Source organism: Homo sapiens, chromosome 16 (genome assembly GCF_000001405.40).
Source record: "Homo sapiens chromosome 16, GRCh38.p14 Primary Assembly".
Taxonomy (NCBI): Eukaryota; Metazoa; Chordata; class Mammalia; order Primates; family Hominidae; genus Homo; species Homo sapiens.
In genome coordinates, this window is record NC_000016.10 from 11,409,300 (window position 1) to 11,435,168 (window position 25,869).

The window sequence follows — 25,869 nt, forward strand, 5'->3', positions numbered from 1 at the left end:
CATTGGGTAAGGAAGGGTAGGGTGTAGAAGGAAAATATTCTAGATCAGGAGTTGGCTTTTGGGTCAAATTTGGCCCACAACCTGATTTTATAAAAAGTTTTATTGTAACAGCCATGTCTATTCACTTACATATCGTCTATAGCTGCTTTTGTGTTACAGTGACAATTCTGAGTAGTTGTAACAGGGACCATAAGGCCTGCAACCCCCACAACATTTTACTTTACAATAAAAGTTTGTAGACCTCTGTTCTAGATTAAGAAAATTAAAAAGACATGGCAACTACGAATGCTGCGTGATCTTGGCCTGCATCCCGGATTTAAAACAAAACAAAACAGTTTTTTGAAAGAACATTAGTGGGAAAGCTGGGAAATTGTATATGGGCTGTACATTAAATGAAGGTATTAATTCAACGTTCAGTTTCTGGAATGTTGTAATTACCGTGTTAAATCAGAAAATATCCTTGTTACAGGAAATAGTTGAAGTATTTCAGAGTAAAAAGTTGATGTCTTCAGAAACGTCTCTATATTAATTCTTAATGATACAGAAAAAATGTGTGATGATACAAATTTATGTAACAGATAAGAAAGATGGAAAGATATTAACAATTGGTCAATGTTCACTGTCCTACAGTAGCTTTTATATAGGTTGAAATAACTCAAAATAAAACTTGGGAAAAAACTAAGAAGCTCCCGGAATGGAGCCAGGTGTGGTGGTACCACCTGTAGTCCCAGCTACTCCAGAGGCTGAGGCAGGAGGATCACTTGCACCCAGGAGTTTGAGGCTGCAGTGAGCTATGATCACGTCACCACACTCCAACCTGGGTGACAGAGCAAGACCCTGTCTCAAAAAGACATTCTAAAAACAAAAAATAAGGCTGGGCGCAGTGGCTCACGCCTGTAATCCCAACACTTTGGGAGGCCGAGGTGGGTGGATCATTTAAGGTCAGGAGTTTGCGACCAGCCTGGATATCACGGTGAAACCCTGTCTCTACCAAAAATACAAAAATTAGCCAGGCGTGGTGGCGCACGCCTGTCATTCCAGCTACTCAGGAGGCTGGGGCAGGAGAATCGCTTGAACCGGGGAGGCGGAGGTTGCAGTGAGCCGAAATTGTGCCACTGCACTCCAGCCTGGGTGACAAAGAGAGACTGTGTCTCAAAAAAAATTTAAAAATTAAATAAATAAATAAAGAAGTTCCCTGAATGACTGTGCAGTTGGAGCGAAGTTTGAGGAACTCCAAAATCACGTGTAAATGCGGCAGGGGACCCAGCACATAGCGCATGCTCTGTAGACAAAGGTGGCCTGGGCCAGGGCTGGGAGGGTGCCTACCAAAACATGGTGGCTGGTAGGAAAATGAAGTGACTAGTTACAGATGTAACCATTCATGCATGCACTCACCTATTCATGCCCTATTTTTTTTACTAAACAACTACTGTGTGCTGGGCCCTGTGCCAGGCACTAGGCATGCCCTCCAGGAGCTCCGGATCTGGGCACAGACAATGACAGCTCAGAGGGACAGAGGAACCTGGCCTAAGACTACTGGGCCCTCCTGTGCACTCCTACGACCCCTCAAGTCCTGCATGCAGGGCAGAGATGGGGGTGACGCTGGCTCAGCTCCAAAGGGCTGTGTCATCTGCTCCAGCTTCTACAAGTGTGCCAGGCTGGGTGAGGCAATGCCAGGCGCCAGGCACTGGGTGAGGAGGCCTCCCCCATCTCCCAAAGGGCTTGTGAGCCTGACTGGGGGCCACGGGGGCTGGCCCAGGAATGTAAACCTGGGTATGTTTGGGAAAGCTGGAGCCAGGGGTTTCCGAGGGTTGCCCACCGGAGCCTGCTGCAGGCTGGTGAACAGATGTGCATGTATTAACACTCCCCAGAGGGGCCTGGCCCCCTCCTGCCTCGGGCTGGGCATCTGGAACCAGTTAGGAGCCAGGCAGCTGGGGCACAGTTACCTTAGCTGAGGCTGAGGCTGAGCTGGGGCAGAGACCCAGGAGGAAGGGGAGGCGATGCCGGCCTGAGAACAGCAGCTCTTTGCTAGAAGGAAGGAAAGAGAAGGCCTGAAGCTGGCAAGACAGCACCTTGTCCAGTGCCCCCAGGGCCATGTCGAGACCAAGGGGACTTCCCCGAGAGAGAGTCAGAGAGCCAGGATCACATCAGTGGCCCAGTTCAGGGCTATTCACACACCCCGAGGCCCAAGGGCCATACGGTGCCCTGGTTAGGGCTGGACTCTGGAGCCAAGTTACCTAGATTTGAGTCCTGGCTTGGCCTCTGCCTAGCTCTGGCACCAGGAGCAAGCTTCTTGGTTGTCCCTCTCTGAGCCTCAGCTTCCCCTGAGCCTCAGTTTCCCCATTGGTATCAAGGGTTAAACATGGCTCTGGGCTTCAAGTCTTCCATGAGTCCATCAATGAGCTTTCTTGGGTTGGTCCCATGGGAGTCCCAGCAGGGTCTGGACAGCAGGATTTTAACCCCCTGACTCCCTCCCAGGGATCCTCCTCACATAGCACCCCTCCCCTCACTCCTCCAGGCCAGGGTGGTTACAATCTCCACGTTTTTCTCTTTTTCTTTTTTTTTTTTTCCTTCTTCACTAGAGACAGGGTCTTTCTCTGTCACCCAGGCTGGAGTGCAGTGGTGCCATCTCTGCTCACTGCAGCTTCGATCTCCCAGACTCAAGTGATCCTCCTGCCTCACCCTCCTGAGCAGCTGGGACTACAAGCATGCGTCACCATACCAGGCTCATTTTTAAGATTTTTTGTAGCGATGGGGATCTCACTATGTTGCCCAGGTTGGCCTCGAGCTTCTGGGCTTAAGCAATCCTCCCACCTCGACCTCCCAAAGCACTGGGATTACAGGTGTGAGCCGCTGTGCCAGGCCTCTCTCCCCTGTTGCTAACTCCAGGGTGCTACACCCTCTTGTCAGGTTCCTCTCCACCTCCATGTCTCAGCCTTGGCACAGCTGACATCTTGACTCCTGGCCTTCACAGTCGTGGGTGTGTCCTAGGCACTGTAAGATGCTTAGCAGCATCCGTGGCCTCTATACACTGACTCTCACAGTGTCCTCCTCCCCACTGTAGCAACCAGAAATTCCCCAGACTTTGCTGAAAGTCCCTGGGGGGAAACTCGCCCCTAGGTGAGAACCACTGGTCTACCCCTTCAACAAGTGGCTTACTCACCCCCTCCCTCACTGCTGAGACCTGAGGGCTAGAGCCTGGCTGGTGGCCCCTGACTTACTGCACACGTAAGAGCACCAAGCGCCTCACCAGGCCCCCAGGCCTAAGGGCAGTAATAGTTATTAATAAGTGTTTGGGGCCTTGGATGCACTTAGTTTCTGAGACTGAGAACTCATCAGTGCCCTGCCTGGAGAGGATGAGGGATTTTTATAGCTGTGTGACCTTGGAAAAGTTACTTGGCCTCTCTGAGCCTCCCTGCCCTTGTTTATGCAGCAGTGCTGAGCAGAGAATTGAGAGGTGCTGTGTCCAGCGATGGTGCACAGCAGGTACCCAGTCAATGGTTCCTCCCCCGACTCCTCTCCTCCTGGGGGCCCCCCTCACCTGACTGCCTGGTTCTGGCCACGGACGTCAAGGACCAAGGTGGCCTGAGAATCGCAGGTCAGCTGCAGTGAGGAGCTCATCTCTTCTGCCTCCCAGAGTCCTTGGAACACGAGCTGAGGAGGGAGCAGGCTGTGAGATGTGTGGGTGTACATAGCCTGAGGAGCCTCACAGGCTGGGTGGGGACCCCAGCCGAGCTCTATAGCCCAGCACGTCCCTGTCCCTAAGCCCAGCATGGCCTGGCTCATCCAACACTCTCACAGGTGCTGAGGATACAGGGCCGGAGTCAGCCCCTATTGCAGCTCAGGTTGGCAGTGCCCACCGAGGGACCTCAAAGGACAGCTGCAGCCCAGACGTCGACAGAGAATGTGCTCCCGGGAGGGCTCCCTGTCACCTGACCTCGAGGCCAGGAAAGGGTTTAGATGAAGCCAAGGGCACAGGGTATCCAGTCCACTCAGTTGTGGGGTACAGGGCTGAGATCCTTTGCAGGAGGGGTGACATCCTGGCCCCCTGACCCCCTGGGAGCTGCTCCCTCCTCCTACAGCAGAGTGGACTGGGGCAGGGGTTGCTGGGTAATCTGAAACAGGAGGGTGTGAAAGAAGCATTGGCGCCTGGCTCTAGAATAGGCTCTGTGGCTCTTGGAGAAGGAGGGCCCAGCCAAGCAGGACGAGTTCATGCCAAGTGACAGTGGTCAGGGCATGGCCCCATGTGGGTTCCTCTTCACCGAGGCAGGAGGACACCGTGAGGAAGGGCCTGGGTGCCAAGTCTGAGTCCCTATTTTGCTGCTAACTTGCTAGGTGACCTTGGGCAAGTCACCCACACTCTCACGTGTGACCCAGAGATGATGATGATGACGATAATAATCACTGTCAGACCATCAGCATCTTCTTCTTCATCTTTGCCTTCATCACAGCAGGTGCTTAAGGATCTACTCAGGCATTAATGGGATGAACTCACTCGATCCTCACAACCTCCACATTATAGGTAATATCATCATCCCTGTTTTGCAGATGAGGAGATGAGGGCACAGACAGGTGAAGGAATTTGCCCAAGGCCACACAGCTGGCAAGCAGCAGAGCTGGGATCTGAACATCGGAGAGGGCCTTGGTAAGGACGGTGCCATCCTGCCTTTCTCTGGAGCCTGAGGAGGATGAGACTGACGAACGCCCATAAACCCTTTGAAGGGGGCTGGGCACAGGGCAGGGCTTGACAAGCAGGAGCTTTGATTCTGACCCAAGATTGCAGGGCAGAAGGACGCAGGGCAGGAGCCAGACGAGGCTCCAGGGCACCCATCCACACCAGCCCTGTGATTGGAAATGCAGAGACTGCTCAGCAGACCTGGTTATAGCGATTATGAATGAAGCCTTTGTAAATTGTCAAGTACTGGGGAAACCCAAGGCCTGGTCCTCCCCACCCACCCTGCACACAGCGGGTCCTCTGCACACCAGGAATTGGACAGAGAGAACAGAATGTGGAGGGAGGTCCTGCTCCATCCACTCCTTACCTGGTTGGTGAAGGGCAGGCCCAGCCTCTGGAGAGCAGGCACTGTGTGGCTGGCACTGGCCACCAGCTGCAGTGGGCCACGTCGTGGCCGAGCCACCAGGGCTGCCAGGTCCATGCTGACTCCACTGTCCCCACCATGGAGGGCCACCCTGGCCTGGGTCTGGGTCTCTAGAGACAGAGAATGGCATGGGCTACTGAAGACAGCTTCACCTCCCTTCCCAGCCCAGGAACACACCAGACTACATGAGAGGCCATGCCCTGTGGCCCTCAAACACAACACCAGCAGGAAAGGGCAAGGCTGCCACAGCGTGGGTGCTGGGTGGGGTCAACCCCTTTGAGCCTCCGTGACATCATCTGTCATAATTTGTCCCTGAGGATCCAGGCCTGGGTGGCTCCTTCTCTCATTGAAGTTGAAGTTGCTGAAATGACACCTTCTCCAAGAAGCTTCCCTTGACTGCCCATCTGAAGTCCCTCCCAGTCCTTGGCTGCCAGGCATCCTCCATCCCATCTCCCTGGAGTGTGGTTTCCAGCACAACCTGAAATGACCTCGCTCACTTACTTATTAGGTTCCTGCTCCCCAAACTCTCACCCCACCAGAAGGTCAGTGCCTGGGGTCGGGATTTCCCTTAGGACAGCTCCTGACATGCAGCGGGGGTGCAGTGAGTGCTTTCTGAATGACTGTGGGATGAAAGGCTTCTCTGCAGGGATTCCTGAGGATTATGGGAGGGGTAGCCTGCAGAGGAATCAGCATGACGTCTGCTCCCCACAAATGGCCACTGCGGCCACTGACATCCACCTGCAGCCACCTGGCCCTGGCTGGAGGGTCCCGTCCTTCCCATCACCCCCTACAGAACAGGAGATTTTGGCTCACAGTTAGGAGTTTCTTCTTTGACTTAAACTCCCTTTGCTATACAGAGAAACTCATCGGGTCCAGGAGCCCCAGAGCAAACAGATGGCGCCGATTCTGTATCAGATGCCAGGTTCCCGTGGGGTGCAGCTCACGGCTCAGGCCCAAGTGACACTCAGCCAGGCTCCAGCACCTCCCATCTGGCCAGCAGGGTGGACGAGCTCCACAGCCCTGAGCCTCGACTTCCTTATCTATGAGGTGGGCACAGCCCGCCCGCCTCAAGGGACAGCGTCCAGAGTGAATGGGGTAACACACGGGAGAGGACCACTTGTGGGACATGCAGGTGGCCTCAGGAAATGCTTCCTTCCTTCCTCGTTCAACATTCAGCCACATGTACCTACTACATGCAGGGCACAAGGAGACAGGGGACACAATCCCCACACCTGGGAGCACCCGGCTGTCAGAGATACCAAGAATGTTAACGACAGGCAGAGCATCCCCAGGAGGTAGGGACAACAGACTGGACAGCAGTGGGAGAAGGGAGAAGTCACTCTTGGCTGGGGGCGGCCATACCAGGCATCCTGGGTCGGGAACTAGAGCGGCGTGGAGGTGGTCATCCAGAATGGCCTCCCCTCACTTGACTGTCATGTCCCTAACAAACCCTGAGGTCAACTCAGACTGGGGACAATTTCCCCATGTGATCCTGTCCTCTGTTCTCCCCTCAGGAGGCTAACGGCCAAAAATAAAGTGTTTTTTTTGCTGTTGTTGTTTTGTTTTTTTTTTTTTGAGACAGAGTTTCACTCTGTGGCCCAGGCTGGAGTGCTGTGGCGTGATCTCGGCTCACTGCAACCTCCGCCTCCCAGGTTCGAGTGATTCTTGTGTCTCAGGCTCCTGAGTAGCTGGGACTACAGGCATGCACCACCATGCTCAGCTAATATTTTTTGTAGAGACAGGGTTTCACCATGTTGGCCAGGCTAGTCTCGAACTCCTGACCTCAAATGATCCACCCGCCTTGGCCTCCCAAAGTGCTAGGATTACATGCATGAGCCATTGCACCCGGCCCCCAAAATAAAAAAATTTGAGGCCAACAGAAGGACTCCCCTAGGGGACTGGGGAGTCCCCGGGATCCTGAATGGTCAAGAGCCAAGTCTCCATAATCTATATGGGGGTCAGAGGATGGCTCTGGGTTCAATCCTCACTCCGTCATTACCAGCTGTGTGGCCTAGACCAGGTGACTCAACCTCTCTGAGCCTCCATTCCTCATCTGCAGAATGGGAATGGCATTCCTAACCCTATCTCATAGGCTCGTTCATGCACCCATTCGATACCTACTATGCACCCTACGGCGAAGCAGACAAAAGTCATCCCTGCCCTCACAGAGCACACATTCTGGTGATTCTAGCATAGAAAAATGAAAAACAAAGGTATTTGTATGCTACACAGTGTGTTCAAATGACAGAGCTGGGGAGAGGGATGGGAGGGGATGGGAGGAAACGGGGAGGTGGAAAAGAGAGGCCTCCCTGAGATGCCATTGGAAAAATACCTAAGGGAGGTGAGGGAGCCAGGCAGGCGTGTGGGAGAGACACATTCCAGGCAGCAGGATCAGCCCGTGCCAAGGTCCTGGGGCCGCAGCAAGCCTGGCGTGTTGAAGAATAGCAAGGAGTGGAACAAGTAGGGCTGGGGGCTGGGAGATGAGGTCAGATGGGGGAAGGGTGTGGATTCTGATGGCTCGCAGGCCCCTCTAAGAGCTTTGACTTTCACCCTGTGTGATCGGGACGGCTGTACTGTATTGTGCTCTCGTGTGCACACAGCTTGCCTGGCATGTATGCAGTAAGTGCTCAGCCAGTGCTGGCTCCTCTTGTTGCTTTTATCTTCCCACCATAATGGGTTGAACCGTGTCCCCCAAAAAGAGATATTGAAGTCCCACCCCCCCTCACCCTCTGTCCTGTGAATATGACTTTATTTAAAAATAAGGTATTCACAGATGTAATTAAGTAAAAACAAGGTCATATTCAAGTCGGACGGGCCCTCAATCCACTGTGGATTGTTTTTATTTTGAGACAGGGTCTCATTCTGTCACCCAGGCTGGAGGGCAGTGTTGCAATCATAGCTCATTGCAACCTCAACCTTCTGGCTCCAGTAATCCCCTGCCTCAGCCTCCCGAGTAGCTGCGACCACACACATGCACCACCACACCTAGCTAAGATTTCTATGTTTTAAGCCATCCAGTGTGTGGGACTTTGTTGTGGAAGTCCTAGAAAACTAATCCACCTGCCTTGGGAGTTAGGTCATTGACGGGCAAGGCTGTCTTGGTTGTCCTGGAGCCCAGAGCCACACTGGACTTGACAGGAGTGCCACCTGGGTCCAGGCCTGAGGCTGCTGGTCTGGCCCAGGCATGGAGGAAGCCAGCTCCCCAGTCCCGGGCTGTGCGCTGAGTGCCTTACCGTGTATCTGCAGCTCAGCACTAAGGCAGGCCTCGCCTGGGAACCCTGCCCACAACAAAGCCTCACTGTTGTGCCAGCTCCGGCCGGAGAGCTCCAGGTGCCCATCATGGTAATAGCAGCTCACAGAGTAGTTGAGGAATGTGGGCCCCATCAGGATGCGTCCAGAATGCTCGAAGCCGGAGCTGCCATTGTGAATGTCCACAGAGACCTGGAATGACACCAAGGAGACGCTGGACCACCCTGTGCAGAGAGAGCCAGCCTGGGTCAAGCTGGCACTGGCTCCCACAAACCCTGGGGTTATCAGTGCCATCCACGTCGCTGTGATGGGAGGAACTCAGACCCTCTTGAAGGAGCAGGTTTGATGACCAATGGGGTTACTCCAGCTAATTACACATGCACCCAGGAGACCGTAGAGAAAACGCGGAGAAACCAATCAGGAAGTGGGGCAGGCAGGGGAGAGTGGGCCTGGGGAAGATGGCTGGAGAAAGACTTTGGGAAGACCAAGATGTCCTGGCTGGTGCGAAACAGGTTGCAAACCACAGCCTACATCTGTTGTTGTAAATAAAGTTGTTGGAACACAGCCCTGCCTGTTTGTCAGAGGCATTTGAACCAGAGCAACTCCATCTTGAATAGACACTGGGTAAAGTAAGGCTGAGACCTACCAGGCTGCATTCCCAGGAGGTCAGGCATTCTAAGTCACGGGACGACATAGGAGGTCAGCACAAGATACAGGTCATAAAGACCTTGCTGATAAAACAGGTTGCAGTAAAGAAGCTGGCTAAATCCCACCAAACCAAGAAGGTGACAAGAGTGACCTCTGGTCGTCCTCACTGCTACACTCCCACCAGCACCATGACAGTTTACAGATGTCATGGCAATGTCAGGAAGTTGCCCTATATTGTCTAAAAAGGGGAGGCGTGAATAATCCACCCCTTGTTTAGCATATCATCAAGAAATAGCCATAAAAATGGGCAACCAGCAGCCCTGAATTCTTTCTTGCACAAGATCCAAGAACCCTCCCTTGCGGTCTGGATCGAGACCCCATTCCGGTAACATGTTCACATCCCATTCCTGTGGCTGCTTTCACAACACAATAGCAGTAGAATGGAGGCATTGTGGCAGAGACTGCAGGGCCACAGAGGCTAAGACATTTACTATCTGGCCCTTGATGGAAAAAGTTTCTCAAACTCTGCTGTGAGATGTAATTCCCTCCCATGCCACCCCACAATTGTCTTAGTAAAACCTTCAGTGAGGCCAGGTGCAGTGGCTCATGCCTGGAATCCCGGCACTTTGGGAGGCAAAGGCGGACAGATCACTTGAGGTCAGGAGTTTGAGACCATCCTGGCCAACAAGGCAAAACCCCGTCTCTACTAAAAATACAAAAATTAGCCAGGCATAGTAGTGGGTGTCTATAATCCCAGTTACTCAGGAGGCTGAAGCGGTGGAATCTCTTGAGCCCAGGGGGCGGAGCTTGCAGTGAGCCGAGATCACACTACTGTACTCCAGCCTGGGTGAAAGGGCAAAACTCTGTCTCAAAAAAACAAAAAACAACAACAACAAAAAAAATATACTACAAGGCTACAGTAACCAAAACAGCATGGTACTGGTACCAAAACAGAGATATAGATCAATGGAACAGAACAGAGCCCTCAGAAATAACGCCGCTTATCTACAACTATCTGATCTTTGACAAACCTGAGAAAAACAAGCAATGGGGAAAGGATTCCCTATTTAATAAATGGTGCTGGGAAAACTGGCTAGCCATATGTAGAAAGCTGAAACTGGATCCCTTCCTTACACCTTATACAAAAATTAATTCAAGATGGATTAAAGACTTAAACGTTAGACCTAAAAACCATAAAAACCCTAGAAGAAAACCTAGGCATTACCATTCAGGACATAGGTATGGGCAAGGACTTCATGTCTAGAACACCAAAAGCAATGGCGACAAAAGCCAAAATTGACAAATGGGACCTCATTAAACTGAAGAGCTTCTGCACGGCAAAAGAAACTACCATCAGAGTGAACAGGCAACCTCCAAAATGGGAGAAAATTTTCGCAACCTACTCATCTGACAAAGGGCTAATATCCAGAATCTACAATGAACTCAAATTTACAAGAAAAAAACAACCCCATCAAAAAGTGGGCAAAGGATATGAACAGACACTTCTCAAAAGAAGACATTTATGCAGCCAAAAGACACATGAAAAAATGCTCATCATCACTGGCCATCAGAGAAATGCAAATCAAAACCACAATGAGATACCATCTCACACCAGTTAGAATGGCAATCATTAAAAAGTCAGGAAACAACAGATGCTGGCGAGGATGTGGAGAAATAGGAACACTTTTACACTGTTGGTGGGACTGTAAACTAGTTCAACCATTGTGGAAGTCAGTGTGGCGATTCCTCAGGGATCTAGAACTAGAAATACCATTTGACCCAGCCATCCCATTACTGGGTATATACCCAAAGGACTATAAATCATGCTGCTATAAAGACACATGCACACGTATGTTTATTGCGGCACTATTCACAATAGCAAAGACTTGGAACCAACCCAAATGTCCAACTATCATAGAATGGATTAAGAAAATGTGGCACATATACACCATGGAATACTATGCAGCCATAAAAAATGATGAGTTCATGTCCTTTGTAGGGACATGGATGAAATTAGAAATCATCATTCTCAGCAAACTATCACAAGGACAAAAAACCAAACACCACATGTTCTCACTCATAGATGGGAATTGAACAATGAGAACACGTGGACACAGGAAGGGGAACATCACACTCGGGGGACTGTTGTGGGGTGGGGGGAGGGGGGAGGGATAGCATTAGGAGATATACCTAATGCTAAATGACGAGTTAATGGGTGCAGCACACCAGCATGGCACATGTATACATATGTAACTAACCTGCACATTGTGCACATGTACCCTAAAACTTAAATAATAATAAACCCCCCCCCCCGGAAAAAAACCCCAAACTTTCAGTGAAATCTCCACCACCTCTACCACAATTTCGAAGGAGCTACCCAGGCATGAAGGAGCAGGGATGACAGACGGGGAGAGGGCACCCTGGTCCCCTGCAACCCAAAGAATGAGCCGCGGCCCAGCCGTGACTGCATCACCCGGGCTGAGAAACGCAGCATCTCAGGCCCCACCCCAGACCTGCTGAATCAAACCTTCATTTTAACGCCCTCCCCGATTATGCCTGTGTACTGGGTGTGCGGGAAGCCCTGCTCTAGGCAGAAGGACCACCACAGGAGGTCCAGGTCTGCTGGGCTCTGATCATGTGCCACCCACCCTCTGGGATGACAGCACAGGGCCCAGGGCTGGACTTGTCCTGAGTTTCAGGGGCTCTGTACTGCTGGCCACCTCTGCCAAACTGTCCCCATCCACCCTGGGCCACACCCAGGCCTGCCTGCTAGGCCTCTGCTGGTGTCACCGCTGACCTTGATGGTGCCAAGGTCAGACGGGCCCCAGGCACTCAGGCTCAGGGCAGATCCAGAGACTCAGTGTGACAGCAGAGAGGCCAGGGGTGAGCTCTCTGTCACTATCCACAGAGCGCTTCCCTGCACCCCAGCCCCAGTGGGCAGAGCTGGGAAAACTGAGGCCTGAGCCCTCATCACCACACAGCTGGCTCCCTGGACTTTCCCCCCAGGACTAGGCATTCCCAGGGTCTAGTCAACCCTAGACCAGGGGTTGCAAACTGGTGGCCCTTGAGCTGATAAGTTTTATGTGGTCACTCACTCTGGTATTTTTTGTGTTGTTTTTTTTTTGAGACTGAGTCTTGCTCTGCCACCCAGTCCGGAGTGCAGTGGCACAATCTTGGCTCACTGCAACCTCCGCCTCCTGGGTTCAAACGATTCTCCTGCCTCCGCCTCCCAAGTAGCTGGGATTATACGCATGCGCCACCACGCCCAGCTAATTTTGTTGTATTTTTAGTAGAGACAGGGTTTTACCATGTTGGCCAGGCTGATCTCGAACTCCTGACCTCAAGTGATCCGCCCACCTCGGCCTCCCAAAGTATTGGGATATACGACATCTTGTATAATTCTGTTTGTATGAAATTTCCAGAATAGACAAACGCATAGGGACGGAAGGCAGATTTGTGGTTGCTGGGGACCAGGGAGGAGGGGATGGGAGGGACTACTAATGTACTGATGGGTATGGGGATTCCACTGGGGTGTTGAAAAGTTCTGGAACTTGCAAGCACCAATGATTGTAGAATAGTGTGAACGACCATAGCATCCCCGAGTTGTATACTTTAAAACGGTTTTACATTATTACACATATTTTACTACAACAAGAAATGTGAAAAGATACATATGATGTGGAGGGTTTGAGACGTGGCAAACACTCTGTAGTTCCCCACACAGCCCAGTGACACATTTCAGTTCTCCGCCTGCCCCCAAAGTCTTCGAGTTTGCAACCCCTGTACCCAATGCACACAGGTTTATCATTGAAACAGCGGGAGCAGGCTGGGTACATGGCCCATGCCTGTAATCCCAGCACTTTGGGAGGCCGAAACGGGCCGATCACTTGAGGTCAGGAGTTCAAGACAAGCCTGGCCAACATGGTGAAACCCTGTCTATACTAAAAATACAAAAATTTAGCTGGGCGTGGTGGTGGGCACCTGTAATCCCACCTACCTGGTGGGCTGAGGCAGGAGACACTTGAACCTGGTAGGCAGAGGTTGCAGTGAGCTGAGGTCATGCCACTACACTCAAGCCTGGGCAACTGAGCAAGACTCTGTCTCAGAAAAGGAAAGGAATGGGACGGAAAGGAACAGAACGGAACGGAAAGGAAAGGAAAGGAAAGGAAAACGAAGCAAAGGAAAAGAAAGGAAAACAAACAGCAGCAACAGCGGCAGCAGCTGCGATCACTGCCTGAGCATGCAGCAGGTGGCAAGGCCCCTCACCTGTTTTATGTCACCTGTTTTATGAGGCAGGAACTGCTACTCCATATAGGTCAAAAATGTTGACTGAGCACCTACTACATGTCAGGCCCCGTCTCAAACCTGGGGATACTACCATGCACAAAATAGAAATGCCTGAGCCCGTGACGCTCAGGTGGCAGTGGTGGGAGGCAGACAGGACAAAGAGAAAGGCATTGTGCTTCCTGCCTGCACCCTCGGCAGAGACAGCTTGAAGCCACCTGAGCTGAGCTGCACCCCAGCCCTGAGCGCCACGGTCCGCTTGTCTCACGATGCCAGGACATGCCCACCGCCAGCCCAGCTGCCCATGACAGAGGTGGGCTTGCAACCCTTGGGTCCTGATTGATGTTTACCTGTGTTTGCAGATGGGACCACTCGATGACCATCAGGTTGAGCTGATGCCCCTGGGAACTGGGAGTCCAGGTGCATGTCACCAGGGATGTGGGGGGCTTTTGAAGGAGGGGGACCATGTGAGTATCTCCTGGCAGCGAACTCAGCTCCGGGCCACACCTCAGACGGCCCCTGTGATCAGGCTGTGCCAGCCCCGCTGGAGGGGCCCACTATGTACCACAACCATCCAGCCCAGGACAGAGACCCCATACCTCGAGAGGCTGCCCAGCGATGTCCCCTCGGCACCATCCTAACAGCTGGGTGGGCGAGGCGTCTCCACTGCAGTTGACCTACAGAGACCAGTGGGTGGGAAGGGGCTGGCTTCTTCCCTGACCCCAGAGTGAACCGTCGTGGATGCCAAGATCCCACTTGACCCCGCCACCCTTTGGGGAAGCCACCATGGGCAAATAACCCCAAAGAGAGGTTTGCACAGGGACTTGAGGGCGAAGCCACGGCATCATCATCAAATGAAGGTAAACGGAGCTCCCAGCATGCAGGGCCTCCACGCCAGGCACGGTGCTAACTGAACCACAGAGTAACCATGGGAGGAGGTGGCAGATGAGGAAACTGAGTCACGCAAGTCAGGGAAAGAGGAAGCATCTTGCATGTGGTCACACAGTCAGCGACGGTGCAGCCTGGCTTCAGGCCAGGAGCCCTGCTCACTCACATTCCCTCTCCCACCATGGACGGTTTAGCCACCCTCAGGGACAGGCACCGAGGTGGTTTCCTGCTTTTCATTTCTGAGAACAATAAAGAGGACAGCTGCGGGTGTGAGGCTTCCCCAGGGTAGGGGCCCCAGGGAGGAACTGAGAGACCAGGGCCTCTACCATCTTCATTCTACCAGACAGGGCCTGGTGCAGGCTGCAGCCTGGCCCATGTGGGCACCCAACCCACTCACCTCCAGCTGGGAGGGCAGGGTACCCTGCAGCCCCGAGAGGCCATGGTGCAGCCCCAGCACCAGCCCCTGGCGGCCACCCTCTGCCTTCCTCTCCAGGGCTGCGCGGAGCTGCTCGCCATCCAAGATCACCGTCAGCCCGGCCGCCAGACTACGTCCCACACTCTGGGCAGAAGCAAAGCTGTTGGGTGTCCCTGGGACCCACTGGCCCCCGAGAGGGCCCGGGTGCAGCCCCCTCCTCACTCACCTGGAAGTGCCCGTGGCCATCTAAGGAGAAGGGGAGGCCCCAGTGCTTGAGGCTGGGCATGGTGTGGGTGTGACGGAGGCTGGCATGGAGCTGGAGGCCCGAGGACTCGGGGGTCACGTCCTCCAGGCCAATGGCACCGTCTAGCTGAGCCCCCGCGTTCCACAGCGCCAGGCGTGCTGAGCAGTTGGAAGCCACGTGGGTGAGAGACAGGAGCATCCCTGCCTCGGAGGGGAGTCCTGGGGGAAGAGGCCAGCGGGCAGGAGTGGGCAGAGCCCCAGAGACCACTCACCCCAGTCCACCGCATTTAGTCAGGATGGGAACATGACGGGGGCCTGGCCAGCACACCTGCTCTCTAGAGCATCCCCTGAGCCCCATAGCTCCAGGTCCTACTGCACCCAATACACCAGGTTAAACCATCTGAAACTGTCCACAGTTCACAGAAATGGCGATTTCATCTGGTCCAACCTCACAGCACAATTGCCACATGCAGCCGGTGATAAGACCCATGTCCCTTAGGACTTCCAGCTCCCCGAGGAAAGGACACAAATCTCAGAGGGAAACAGGGGTCTGATTGTGTGTCCTCCCTTCGCTGCTGCACCTGGGGGCCCCTCCAGGCCTGGAGGTAACTTCTGAGAAGCTCGAGCAGGGGCTGTTGGGATTATTTCATAGCTGCGGTCCCAGAGGGCATCCTTGGGGTCCTGGCTAGGCCAGGTATCCACGCTGCACAAGCTGTCCCAGGGAATTGGGGGTGGGAGGCCTGGAGGGCTGATGGCAGCGGCTGTCACCAGCTGATTTGAAGCCTGTCAATACGGTAACAACTGGTGCCCTGAAGCTGCATGTTCTGGCTGAATGACGTCCCAGGGAAGGAGACACAGGTGTGCCGGGGAAGCCAGCAGGGGAAAGAAATGAAGCTGGAATGTGAATTTGGGGGTTGGAGGCTCATTTATCCCCCCTCCCTTGGCTCCAGGACTTAGAAGTCTTGGAGGAAGCTGTTCTGCCTGGACCACTCGTCCTACCTGCATCACTCAGCGTGCTGATATTGTGTGTCGGGCCACCCGCAAGCTGTCCGTGCCGGGGGCCCCAGGAGCAGGCGCCACCCAGAGCCAGGCTGGCTGCATGGGCCCGGATGCTGGCCTGGGCCCTCAGGTTCCTCGTCTGGGCCTGCAGCCGGCCCTTCAGCTGGAGCTCTCCAGGCAAGGCCTGGCTGCTGTTCTGGGCAAGGACACAGGTCACGCTGCGCACGCTGGTGCCGTTCCCTGCCTTCTCATGCTGGTCCCGCAGGAGGAAGCCCAGCACAGCTGAGTCAGCAGTGACACTGAGGGTGCCTGCAGAGAATGGTGGAGAAGAACAGAGCAGAGGCGGCTCAGGGAAATGAGCTGCTTTGGAGAGGAGGGAAAAGAATTTGGGGGTAAGAAGTTGCTAGATTCATGATGTCGCACTTGTAACTCATGTCAGAAATGGCACATTTGTGAAATCCATCAGAGTACACCAGCTCCCTCCCAGGATACTCTGAAAATCAAGCGACCTAATTCGCAAAATAATTCAGAAAATCTGAACAGCTCTATATTTATATAGAGCTATACGTTTATATAGCTGTATACGTTTTCCAAAAAACTCCCACAAAGAACGCTCCAGACGTCTTCGCTGGTAAAATCGATCAGACGTTTAGAGAACATCACCACCAATCTCATACAAACTCGTTCAGAAAAGAGAAGAGATGAGGATACTCGACTTGGTTTATGAAATTGGCATAAACCTCATACCAAACCTGACGAAAGCTTTGCAAAAAAGGAAAATTACAGCCCAATAGAGCTATGAACACAGACACCAACTTTCTTAACAAAGTATTAGGAAACCAAATTCAATTACATATAGAAGGAAAGAAAAAAATGCAGGGAATCCCACTAAAGCAAGGTTGGTTTCATACCGAAGTCCAATTTAATTCACACTATTAACAAAATTAAAGTGAAAAACCATATGAATATGTACTAGATTCAGAAAAGGCATTTGACTATATTCAACACCCATTCTTAAGAATAAAAACTGGCCAGGCGCGGTGGCTCACGCCTGTAATCCCAGCACTTTGGGAGGCTGAGACAGGCAGATCACTTGAGGTCAGGAGTTCGAGACCAGCCTGGTCAACATGGTGAAACCCTGTCTCTACTAAGAATATAAAAATTAGCCAGGTGTGGTGGCGCATGCCTGTCATCCCAGCTACTTGGGAGGCTAAAGTAGGAGACTCGCTTGAAACTGGGAGGTGGAGGTTGCAGGTTGCAATGAGCAGAGATTGCACCACTGCACTCCAGTCTGGGAGACAGGGCAAGACTCTGTCTCTAAAAAACAACAACAACAAAAACTCTGCAAAACCAATAGCAAACATTAAAATTATTTGTGGAAATTTTGAATGTTTTCTTTGTAAGAATGAGAACAAGGTAAGAATTTTTACTCTTAGCATATTTATTCAATATTATATACTGTATTTCTTAGCTACTGCAATAAGAAAAAAAAAAACCTAAATGGCATAAAAATATCAGGCCAGGCTGGGTGCAGTGGCTCATACCTGTAATCCCAGCACTTTGGGAAGTTGAGGTAGGAGGATTGTTTAAGCTCAGGCATTCCAGACCAGCCTGGGCAACAAAGGGAGACCCCACCTCTAAAAAAAAAATTATCTGGGCATGGTGGCAGGTACCTGTAGTCCCAGCTACTTGGGAGGCTAAGGCAGGAGGATGCTTGAGCCATGATCATCCCACTGCACTTCAGTCTGGGCGACAGAACAAGACCCCATCTCAAAAAAAAAAAAAAAAGGCATAAAAATCAAAATGGAAGAAAATATCCTATTCTAGAATATATAAAGAGTATCTACAAATCAATAAAAGACAAACAATTTAATAAATGGGCAAAAAAAAATTCATGTGACCTGTCTCAAAGGAAGCTACACGAGCAAATAACACACATGAAGCAGTGCTTGGCCAGGCGCAGTGGCTCACACCTGTAATCCCAGCACTTTGGGAGGCCTAGGAGGGTGGGTCACCTGAGCTCAGGAGTTCAAGACCAGCCTGACCAACAAGGAGAAACCCCGTCTCTACTAACAATACAAAAAAAAAATTAGCCAGACATGGTGGCGCTTGCCTGTAATCCCAGCTACTTGGGAGGCTGAGGCACAAGAATCGCAGAGGTTGCGGTAAGCTGAGATGGCGCCATTGCACTCCAGCCTGGGCAACAAGAGCGAAACTCCATCTCACAAAAAAAAAAAAAAAAAAAAAAAAAAAAGTGCTCAACATAATTAATCAACAGGGAAATGCAAATTAAAGCCACAAGGAGAAACCACTAGACACTAATTTGATTATTTTTTTTGAGACAGGGTCTCATTCTGTTGCCCAGGCTGGAATGCAGTGCCACAATCATGGCTCACTGCAATGTCCACCTCCCAGGCTCAAGCGATCCTCCCACCCCAGCCTCCATGTAGCTGGGACTGTAGGCATGCACCACCATGCCCAACTAATTTTTTTAAAATTTTTGTAGCGACAGAGTCTCCCTATGTTGCCCAGGCTGGTCTGAAACTCCCAGGCTCAAGCAATCTGCCCTCCTCCACCTCCCAAAGTGCTGGGATTATAGGTGTGAGCCACTGCTCTCAGCTGAGATGTGCACATTTCTTTTTATGTAAATTTTATATCAGAGGAACGAAGAAAGGGAAGGAGACTAAGAGCAGGGAGAATTGTAAGCACATTTTGAGCTTTAGTCCATGATGTGTATTATAATCTATTTGGGTGTAAGGTGTTCTGATGTCTACAACTCACTCTGAAAAGCGTCAAAAACAGCATAGATGGATGTGTTACAGGAAAGGGGTCCGGATCCAGACCCCAAGACAGGCTTCTTGGATCTCCCACAAGAAAGAATTCAGGGAAAGTCCACGGTGCAAAGCAAAAGCAAGTTTATTAAGAAAGGAAAGGAATAAAGAATGGCTACTCCAGACAGAGCAGCCCTGAGGGCGGCTGGTTGCCCATTATTATGGTTATTTCTTGATTATATGCTAAACTAGGGGTGGATTATTCATGCCTCCCCTTTGTGTTTATTTTATTTTTTGAGACTGAGTTTCGCTCTTGTTGCCCAGGCTGGAGTGCCGTGGCGTAATCTCTCACTGCAACCTCCACCTTCCAGGTTCAAGCGACTCTCCTGCTTGAGCTTCCTGAGTAGCTGGGATTACAGGCATGTGCCACCACGCCTGGCTAATTTTTTTGTATTTTTAGTAGAGACGGGGTTGCACCATGTTGGCCAGGCTAGTCTCGAACTCCTGACCTCGGGTGATCCACCTGCTTCAACCTCCCAAAGTGTTGAGATTACAGGCGTGAGCCACCGCGGCCGGCCCATCCCTCCCCTTTTTAGACCATATGACGTAACTTCCTGATGTTGCCATGGCATTTGTAAATGACCATGGCGCTGGTGGGAATGTAGTAATGAGAACGAACAGAGGACGCTCTCGTCACCATCTTGGTTTTGGTGGCATTCGGCCGGCTTCTTTACTGAAACCTGTTTTATCAGCAAGGTCTTTATGACCTGTATCTTGTGGCGACCTCCTATCTCTTCCTGTGACTAAGAGTGCCTTAACCTCCTGGGAACGCAGCCCAGTAGGTCTCAGCCTCATTCTACCCAGCCCCTATTCAAGATGGAGTTGCTCTGGTTTACACACCTCTGACAGATGGAGAGTGGATAGGGGATAAAGAAAATAACACAAAATGCGAACAATTATAACATTTAGGTGGGGGGCACGTGGGTGTTTGCACACAATTCAACTTTTCTATATGCTTGCAATCTTGCATGGGAAATGGGAGGGGGAGGGGGAGAAGCCATCTCGTAGGGACTCCCACGGGGCAAATCTAGGAAAATCCGGCACTGAAATAATGATCATGACAGATTACTGAATAAAATAAGAATCCATGAGTCCCTACTGAGGTTAAGGAAGGAAAGAAGGAGGGTGATATGGTTTGGACCTGTGTCCCCAACAACCCTCATGTTGAATTGTAATCCCCAGCGTCAGGGGTGGGGCCTGGTGGGAGGTGACTGGTTGGCCTGGGAGCGGATTTCTTAAACAGTTTAGTAGCATCCCCTGGTACTGTCCTTTCCATAGTGAGATCTGGCTGTTTAACGTGTGTAGCAGCTCCCCCCTCTTTCTCTTAATCCTGCTCTGGCCCTGTGACGTGCTGGCAGAGGAGAAGATGCACCATACTTCCAGTACAGCTTGCAGAACTATGAGCCAACGTCTTTGTAAATTACCCAGTCTCCGGATGTGAAAGCATTGCAAGGACAGACTAATATAGAAGGGAAGGGAAGGGCAAAGGGAGTTAGCAGGGAAAGCATTCTGCCCTAAGCAATAATTTATTTTTTGAGACAGAGTCTCACTCTATCACCCAGGATTGGAGAGCAGTGGTGTGATCTTGGCTCACTGCAACCTCTGCCTCCCATGTTCGAGTGATTCTCGTGCCTCAGCCTCCTGAGTAGCTGGGACTACAGGCGTGTACCGCCACCCCTGGCTAATTTTTGTGTTTTCAGTAGCGACGGGGTTTCACCATGTTGGCCAGGCTGGTCTTGAACTCCTGGCTACAAGTGATCTGCCCGCCTCAGCCTCCCAAAGTGCTGGGATTACAGGCATGAGCCACCATGCCTGGCCTGTAAGCAATAAATTTAAAAAAAAAAAAGAATTAGAAAAATCCCCATTTGGCAATCATCATAACAGTAACAGACTCAGACAAGCATCATCAGTGGGTGCTAAAACTAGGAGGGTCACAATTCCATGAGAACAGAGAATACTTACATGACTTCCAAGTATCTCACCCCAGTTACTTATTAATTACAAAGGAAATAACTAAAAGCTTTACAGCCAAGAAACCTGGCAACCCTACCTTAATCAAGAGATCAAAGCTAATGTCACCAACGTTGGACAAACAGACAGAAGGTGCCACCTGACAAGAGGCTGCCTCATTTCTGTGGTGTCCTACCAACAGGCTTTCTTGAAAGCAGGCATCGGGAAGTGTCACTCAAACCCAGACGGAGGGCTGTTTCACAACATGACTGCCCGGTACCCTTCAAAATGTAAATATCTGCCAGGCGCGGTGGCTCACACCTGTAATCCCAGCACTTTGGGAGTGGAGGCAGATCGATCACTTGAGGCCAGGAGTTCGAGACCAGCCTGGTCAACCTGGTGAAACCCCGTCTCTATTAAAAATACAAAAAAAAATTAGCCAGGTGTGATGCTGTGTTCCTGTAATCCAAGCTACTCGGGAGGCTGAGGCAGCAGAATTGCTTGTACCCGGGAGGCGGAGGTTGCAGTGAGCTGAGATTGCTCCATTGCACTCCAGCCTGGGGGACAAGAGCAAAACTCAGTCTCAAAAAAGAAAACGAAAAAAAAGAATTATCATGTCTGCAATCTAGGAAAACACAATTCAGGAATAAAATAATATGTTAAATATACATACATATAGAGAGAATATGAGAATGATAAGGGAAATGTAAAATGTTAGTAACTGATTAATCTGGGCAAAGGGGCTGTGCGATTCTTTGCATTGTTCTTGCAACTTTTCTACAAGTCTAGTGTTACGTCAAAATAAAAGGTATTCCAAAATATATGCCTGGGAAACCCTGCACCCAACTCTCCCTCCTGGAGATATACAATGTCCATTAGCGTGTTAAAGGCTCTGACAAGTCCTGCATAAGGAACCCTATTCAGTTTTTAGTGAGCAGATTTTCTTTGTCAGAATGCATGTTCATTTCTCACAAAGGGAAATCATCCATACCCCTTTATCTAAACCTGTAGATATGCCAGTGTGAGATGCTGGAGTTGGAGCATCACTGGACTTGGGTGGAAATGAATCTACCTTGCAGTTCCAAAGAAAGTGCTTGCCGCTGCCCCCATGGCGTTCCCCAGGCCCTCACCCTCTTGAAGTGTCTCCTTCTGCTTCAGCCTTCCTGTGAGTGTCAGGAGGCGGGGCATCGCTGCCCAGCCAGCCACCGTGTGCCGGGTTTGGCTCTGGAAAGTCAGGATCCGGCCTCCCCTCCATTCCTCAGATGCCTTGAGGAGCAACTGTGCTGTGTTCTGGTCCAGCAGTGCCTTGGAAAACAGCCAAATCCTAGGCAGCGAAGTAAGGGGGTTAAGATCATGGGCTTTGTAGTCAGGCAAACCTGGGTTCCAACCCCAATGCTGCTGCTCACTAACAGGATGACCTGGGACAAGGACATAACCTCTCTGGGCATCAGTTTCTCCTTCTGCAAAGTGGGAATAAAGTGGACATACTGATATTGAGCTTTTTTTCATTTTTTTCCTAGGAGACAGAGTGACTCTGTCACCCAGGCTGGAGTACAGTGGCACAATCTCAGCTCACTGCAACCTCCGCCTCCTGGGTTCAAGCGATTCTCCTGTCTCAGCCTCCTGAGTAGCTGGGATTACAGGGACCCACCACAACAGCTGGCTAGTTTTTGTACTTTTGGTAGAGATGGGGTTTCACCACGTTGCCCAGGCTGGTCTCGAACTCCTGACCTCAGGTGATCTGCCCACCTTGGTTTCCCAAAGTGCTGGGATTACAGGCATGAGCTGCTGTGCCTGGCCTTGAACTGATATTGATATTGATACTGACAGGTACTCAACCAGGTGTGAAACAGTGTGTTTGCACCTATGGCCAGCTCTTCCCATACTCTCCTGCAAGGTGACTTTGCCACTCCTGCATTAACACGTGAGATCTATGTCCTCTCCCTTTGAATCAGGACTGGCCTTGTGACCTACGTTTTGGTCAGTAGAATGTGGCAGAAGTGACAATGTAGAACTTTCAAGATTGGGCCCTAAGATCTGCAACTTTCACCTTCTCACATGAATGCTGCCTCTTGGAACCCAGCCACCTGGTAAGAAGTCTGACCAGCCTGAGACCGCCATGATGTGAGGAAGCCCAAGCAGCCACTTGAAAAGAGAGAGGGGGATGCACATGGAAGAGCACCGAGGTGCCAGACATGTAAAGGAAGCCTTCCTGGACTTCCCAGTCCACCCCCGTCCTCAGCCCATGCACACATCTGGCTGGGAACTGACTCAGCTGAAGGCTGATGTCAGCCAAGAGTCCCAGAGAATGACCCCTGCCAAAGCCACACAGAACAGAACTGCCTAAGCCTTGTGTAAGTTCCTGACCCACAGAATCGTGAGCAAACAAAATGGTTGTTCTTTAATCTCTATGCTTTGGAGTAGCTTGTTATGCAGCAACATCTAACCAACAGACTCTGACATGCACTGTGCACTTTAGACACATTGTCTGACTCCTTACAAAAGCCCTGTGAGTTTTGAGAATATTATGAACCCTAATATACAGATGAGGAAACAGGTAGAGAGAGAGTAATATGCCCAAAGCTCAAATAAGCAGTTAGCAGTACCTAAAGCATAGGGTTGTTTAGAATTAAACGAACTTTGGAATATAAGGTTCCTACTCCAGGGTCATAATGAGTGATTGATAAATGTGAGAAAAGGAACAGCCCCAAGAAGCTTGCTGTTAAACTTGCTGGAAAATTGGGGCAGGGGACACAGTTCCTATCATCACACAGTGAGTTCCTACATGACACCATTGGAGAGATTTCCCTTGAGCTTCACCACCAGGAACAAGATCAGCCATGCATTTCGTGGTGCACAGCTGTGGACTGTGTGTGTGCACTTCCTGAGGGCCACTGCAAATACTACTACTTGTTGGTTTCTCCCTTTGCATTGGCTGCTAGGAAGCTCAGAGCCAAATCTTCAGCTGAGCTCTAAATAACACAGAGGAACTCATGGCATGAATTTTGTTTACTGAAACTACTTTGAGCAGCTTCCCATTTTTCTTTTCCTTTCCCCCTAGCTTCCTCGTGTATCTTTTTAAAATCTAGAACAAGGGTTGGAAAACTACAGCTTGTGGGCCAAAGCTGGCCCACCACTTGTTTTTATAAATAAAGTTTTATTGGAGCACAATCATGCCCATTATTTATGAATTGTCTACGACACTCTTGTACCGCAATGGCAGGGTTGAGTAGTTGCAACAGAGACCATATGGCCCACAAAGCTGAAAATATTTCCCATCTGGCCTTTTACTGAGAGTCTGCCAACTCCTGACCTACAACAAGGTGCATTTTAATAATTTGCCTCGAATCCTTTTCAGACTGGGGATAAGGATGGGCAGTTGGACAGGTGGATGGACAGACAGCTGTGGTGGCAATGCTGAAGACAAGGTTATCTAGGACCATGTCCACAGCCCAGGGTCTCCTTAAATCCATGCCAAAGCTGGAACAAACATGGGATTGCAGAGGAAATATTTAGTGGAGACCCAATTTGTACCAGAATGTGCAGTACTCAAAATACCAGCATAATATTGTGATGTAATAGGAAATATATATTTGGTCTCTGTCCCTAATCCTTGACACAGAGCTCCTAATCCCTTGGAACTAGAGAGTCTCTTTTGTTGACAGGAGCATCTTTGGTTCTAATGAGGTGACTCTTGGTGGGTTCCTGGACAGGAACTGGTCAACAGAAAGATCAAGCCATGATTAGAGGTTGGAACTTTCAGCCCCACATCCCATCCTCTGAGAAGGGGAGAGGGGCTAGAGGTTGAGTTAATAAGCGGTCATGCCCGCATGATGAAGCCACCATAGAAATCCCTGAACCATGGGGTTCACAGAGAGCTTCTGGGCTGAACACACAGAGGGTGGTGAGCCCAGAGAGGGCGGGGAAGCCCAGCATCCCTTGCCCTATACCTTGCCCTATGCGTCTCTTCCATCTGGCTGTTCTCAAATCATATCCTCTATAATCAATGAATAAATATATGTAAAATGTTTCTCTGAGTTCTGTGAGCCATTTTCGCGAATGATCAGACACAAGATGGGAGGAGGTTATGGGGACCTCCAAGTTACAGCCAGTTGGTCAGGAGGCAGGGGAAGGCTCAGAAGCAGAGGGAGGACAGGAAGGGTCTATAGGAACCTGAGTGAGGGGGAGGATCCCTCCTCCAGGAAGCCCTCCCGAGCCACTCCAGCTCTGGAGAGCTCACCAAGCACAGTGGGCAGCAGAACCTAGGTTCTTCCACCGTTATGAGAGCATTCATGGTATATAACACAAAGAATTATAATACTCTATAAGTAATAATGTATAAAGGGTGGCTCATGCCTGCAGTCCTGGCATGTTGGGAGGCTAAGGCTGGGAAATTGCTTCAGGCCAGGAGTTCAAGACCAGCCTGAGCAACATAGCAAGACCCCGTTCCTACAAAAAAAGTACAAAAATTATCCAGGTGCGGTGGTGAGCCTGTGATTCCAGCTACTAGAGAGGCTGAGGGGAATGGTGTCTGAAGTTGGGGGCAGTCTCGCACACTTAACATGTGGGGTCTGATGCTACCTCCAGGTATATAGAGTCAGAACCGAGACCATTTGTAGGACACCCAGTTAGTGTCCACCAGAGAACTGCTTGATGGGGAAAAAGACCCCCTGTTCCTGGCCACAGAATTATCCTGTACTGAGCATTAAGAGGAGAGCAGCAGAAAAGAGTTTGTTTTTTCCGATTACACCTGCAGCAAAGATGGTAGCCAGCTACTGAGCATGCTCACTGGCCCTGGCTTGGAATTCAAATGCAGGGCTCAGTTCACCATTAGGACAACCCTAAGAAGCAGGTGGAGAAACTGAGGCACAGAAGGGCGAGTGGTCCCAGAGGCAGCCGTGGCCGAGTTGGGACTTGAACCCAAGTGGTCACCCCTGGACCCTAGGCTCCTGAGCACCCCACCATAGTGGACACATGAGTAGGTAAATATATCCTCAGACATGAGACCAGACGGAGACGCACATTCCTTGGGATCACTAGTGATTTTTATTTCATTCCTTTTTACATGATTATTATTATTACTATTTTAGAGTCAGGCTCATTTCACTATTGCCCAGGCTGGGCTGCAATGCTGCAATCTTACAGCTCGCTGCAGCCTCCAACTCCCAAGCTCAAGCAATCCTCTCGCCTCAGCCTCCCAAGTAGCTGGGACTACAGGTGCATGCCACCACATCTGGCTATTTTTTAAAAATTTTCTGTACAG

The 25,869-nt window shown here is 50.8% G+C and overlaps 1 protein-coding gene across 4 annotated transcripts in view, besides 2 other annotated features; it reads right to left on the reverse strand.

Annotated features, from left to right (window-relative positions):
* The window catches only part of LOC400499 (putative uncharacterized protein), a 155,563-nt gene that overhangs the window by 37,285 nt on the left and 92,409 nt on the right, over positions 1-25,869 (reverse strand). For 3 of the 4 annotated variants that reach the window (NM_001370704.1, XM_017023946.1, XM_047434105.1), the window contains 9 exons: positions 21,737-21,930; positions 15,826-16,134; positions 14,810-15,045; positions 14,566-14,727; positions 13,880-13,957; positions 8,333-8,540; positions 5,043-5,209; positions 3,542-3,654; positions 1,947-2,028 (listed from right to left, as the gene is read on the reverse strand). In NM_001370704.1, coding sequence (NP_001357633.1) covers positions 1,947-2,028; positions 3,542-3,654; positions 5,043-5,209; positions 8,333-8,540; positions 13,880-13,957; positions 14,566-14,727; positions 14,810-15,045; positions 15,826-16,134; positions 21,737-21,930 — 1,549 coding nt within the window. The remainder of the gene's footprint in view (positions 1-1,946; positions 2,029-3,541; positions 3,655-5,042; positions 5,210-8,332; positions 8,541-13,879; positions 13,958-14,565; positions 14,728-14,809; positions 15,046-15,825; positions 16,135-21,736; positions 21,931-25,869) is intronic. The other variant, NM_001395505.1, reaches the window with a different exon arrangement.
* Positions 4,622-5,593: an enhancer, noted in NCBI's record as "H3K4me1 hESC enhancer chr16:11507777-11508748 (GRCh37/hg19 assembly coordinates)". NCBI's record gives its function as "activates a minimal SCP1, AML or CMV promoter by ChIP-STARR-seq in naive H9 embryonic stem cells {active_cell/tissue: H9 hESC(naive)}" and the evidence as "EXISTENCE:reporter gene assay evidence [ECO:0000049][PMID:30033119]".
* Positions 14,149-14,228: an enhancer, noted in NCBI's record as "active region_10444". NCBI's record gives its function as "activates an Ori minimal core promoter by ATAC-STARR-seq in GM12878 lymphoblastoid cells {active_cell/tissue: GM12878}" and the evidence as "EXISTENCE:reporter gene assay evidence [ECO:0000049][PMID:35858748]".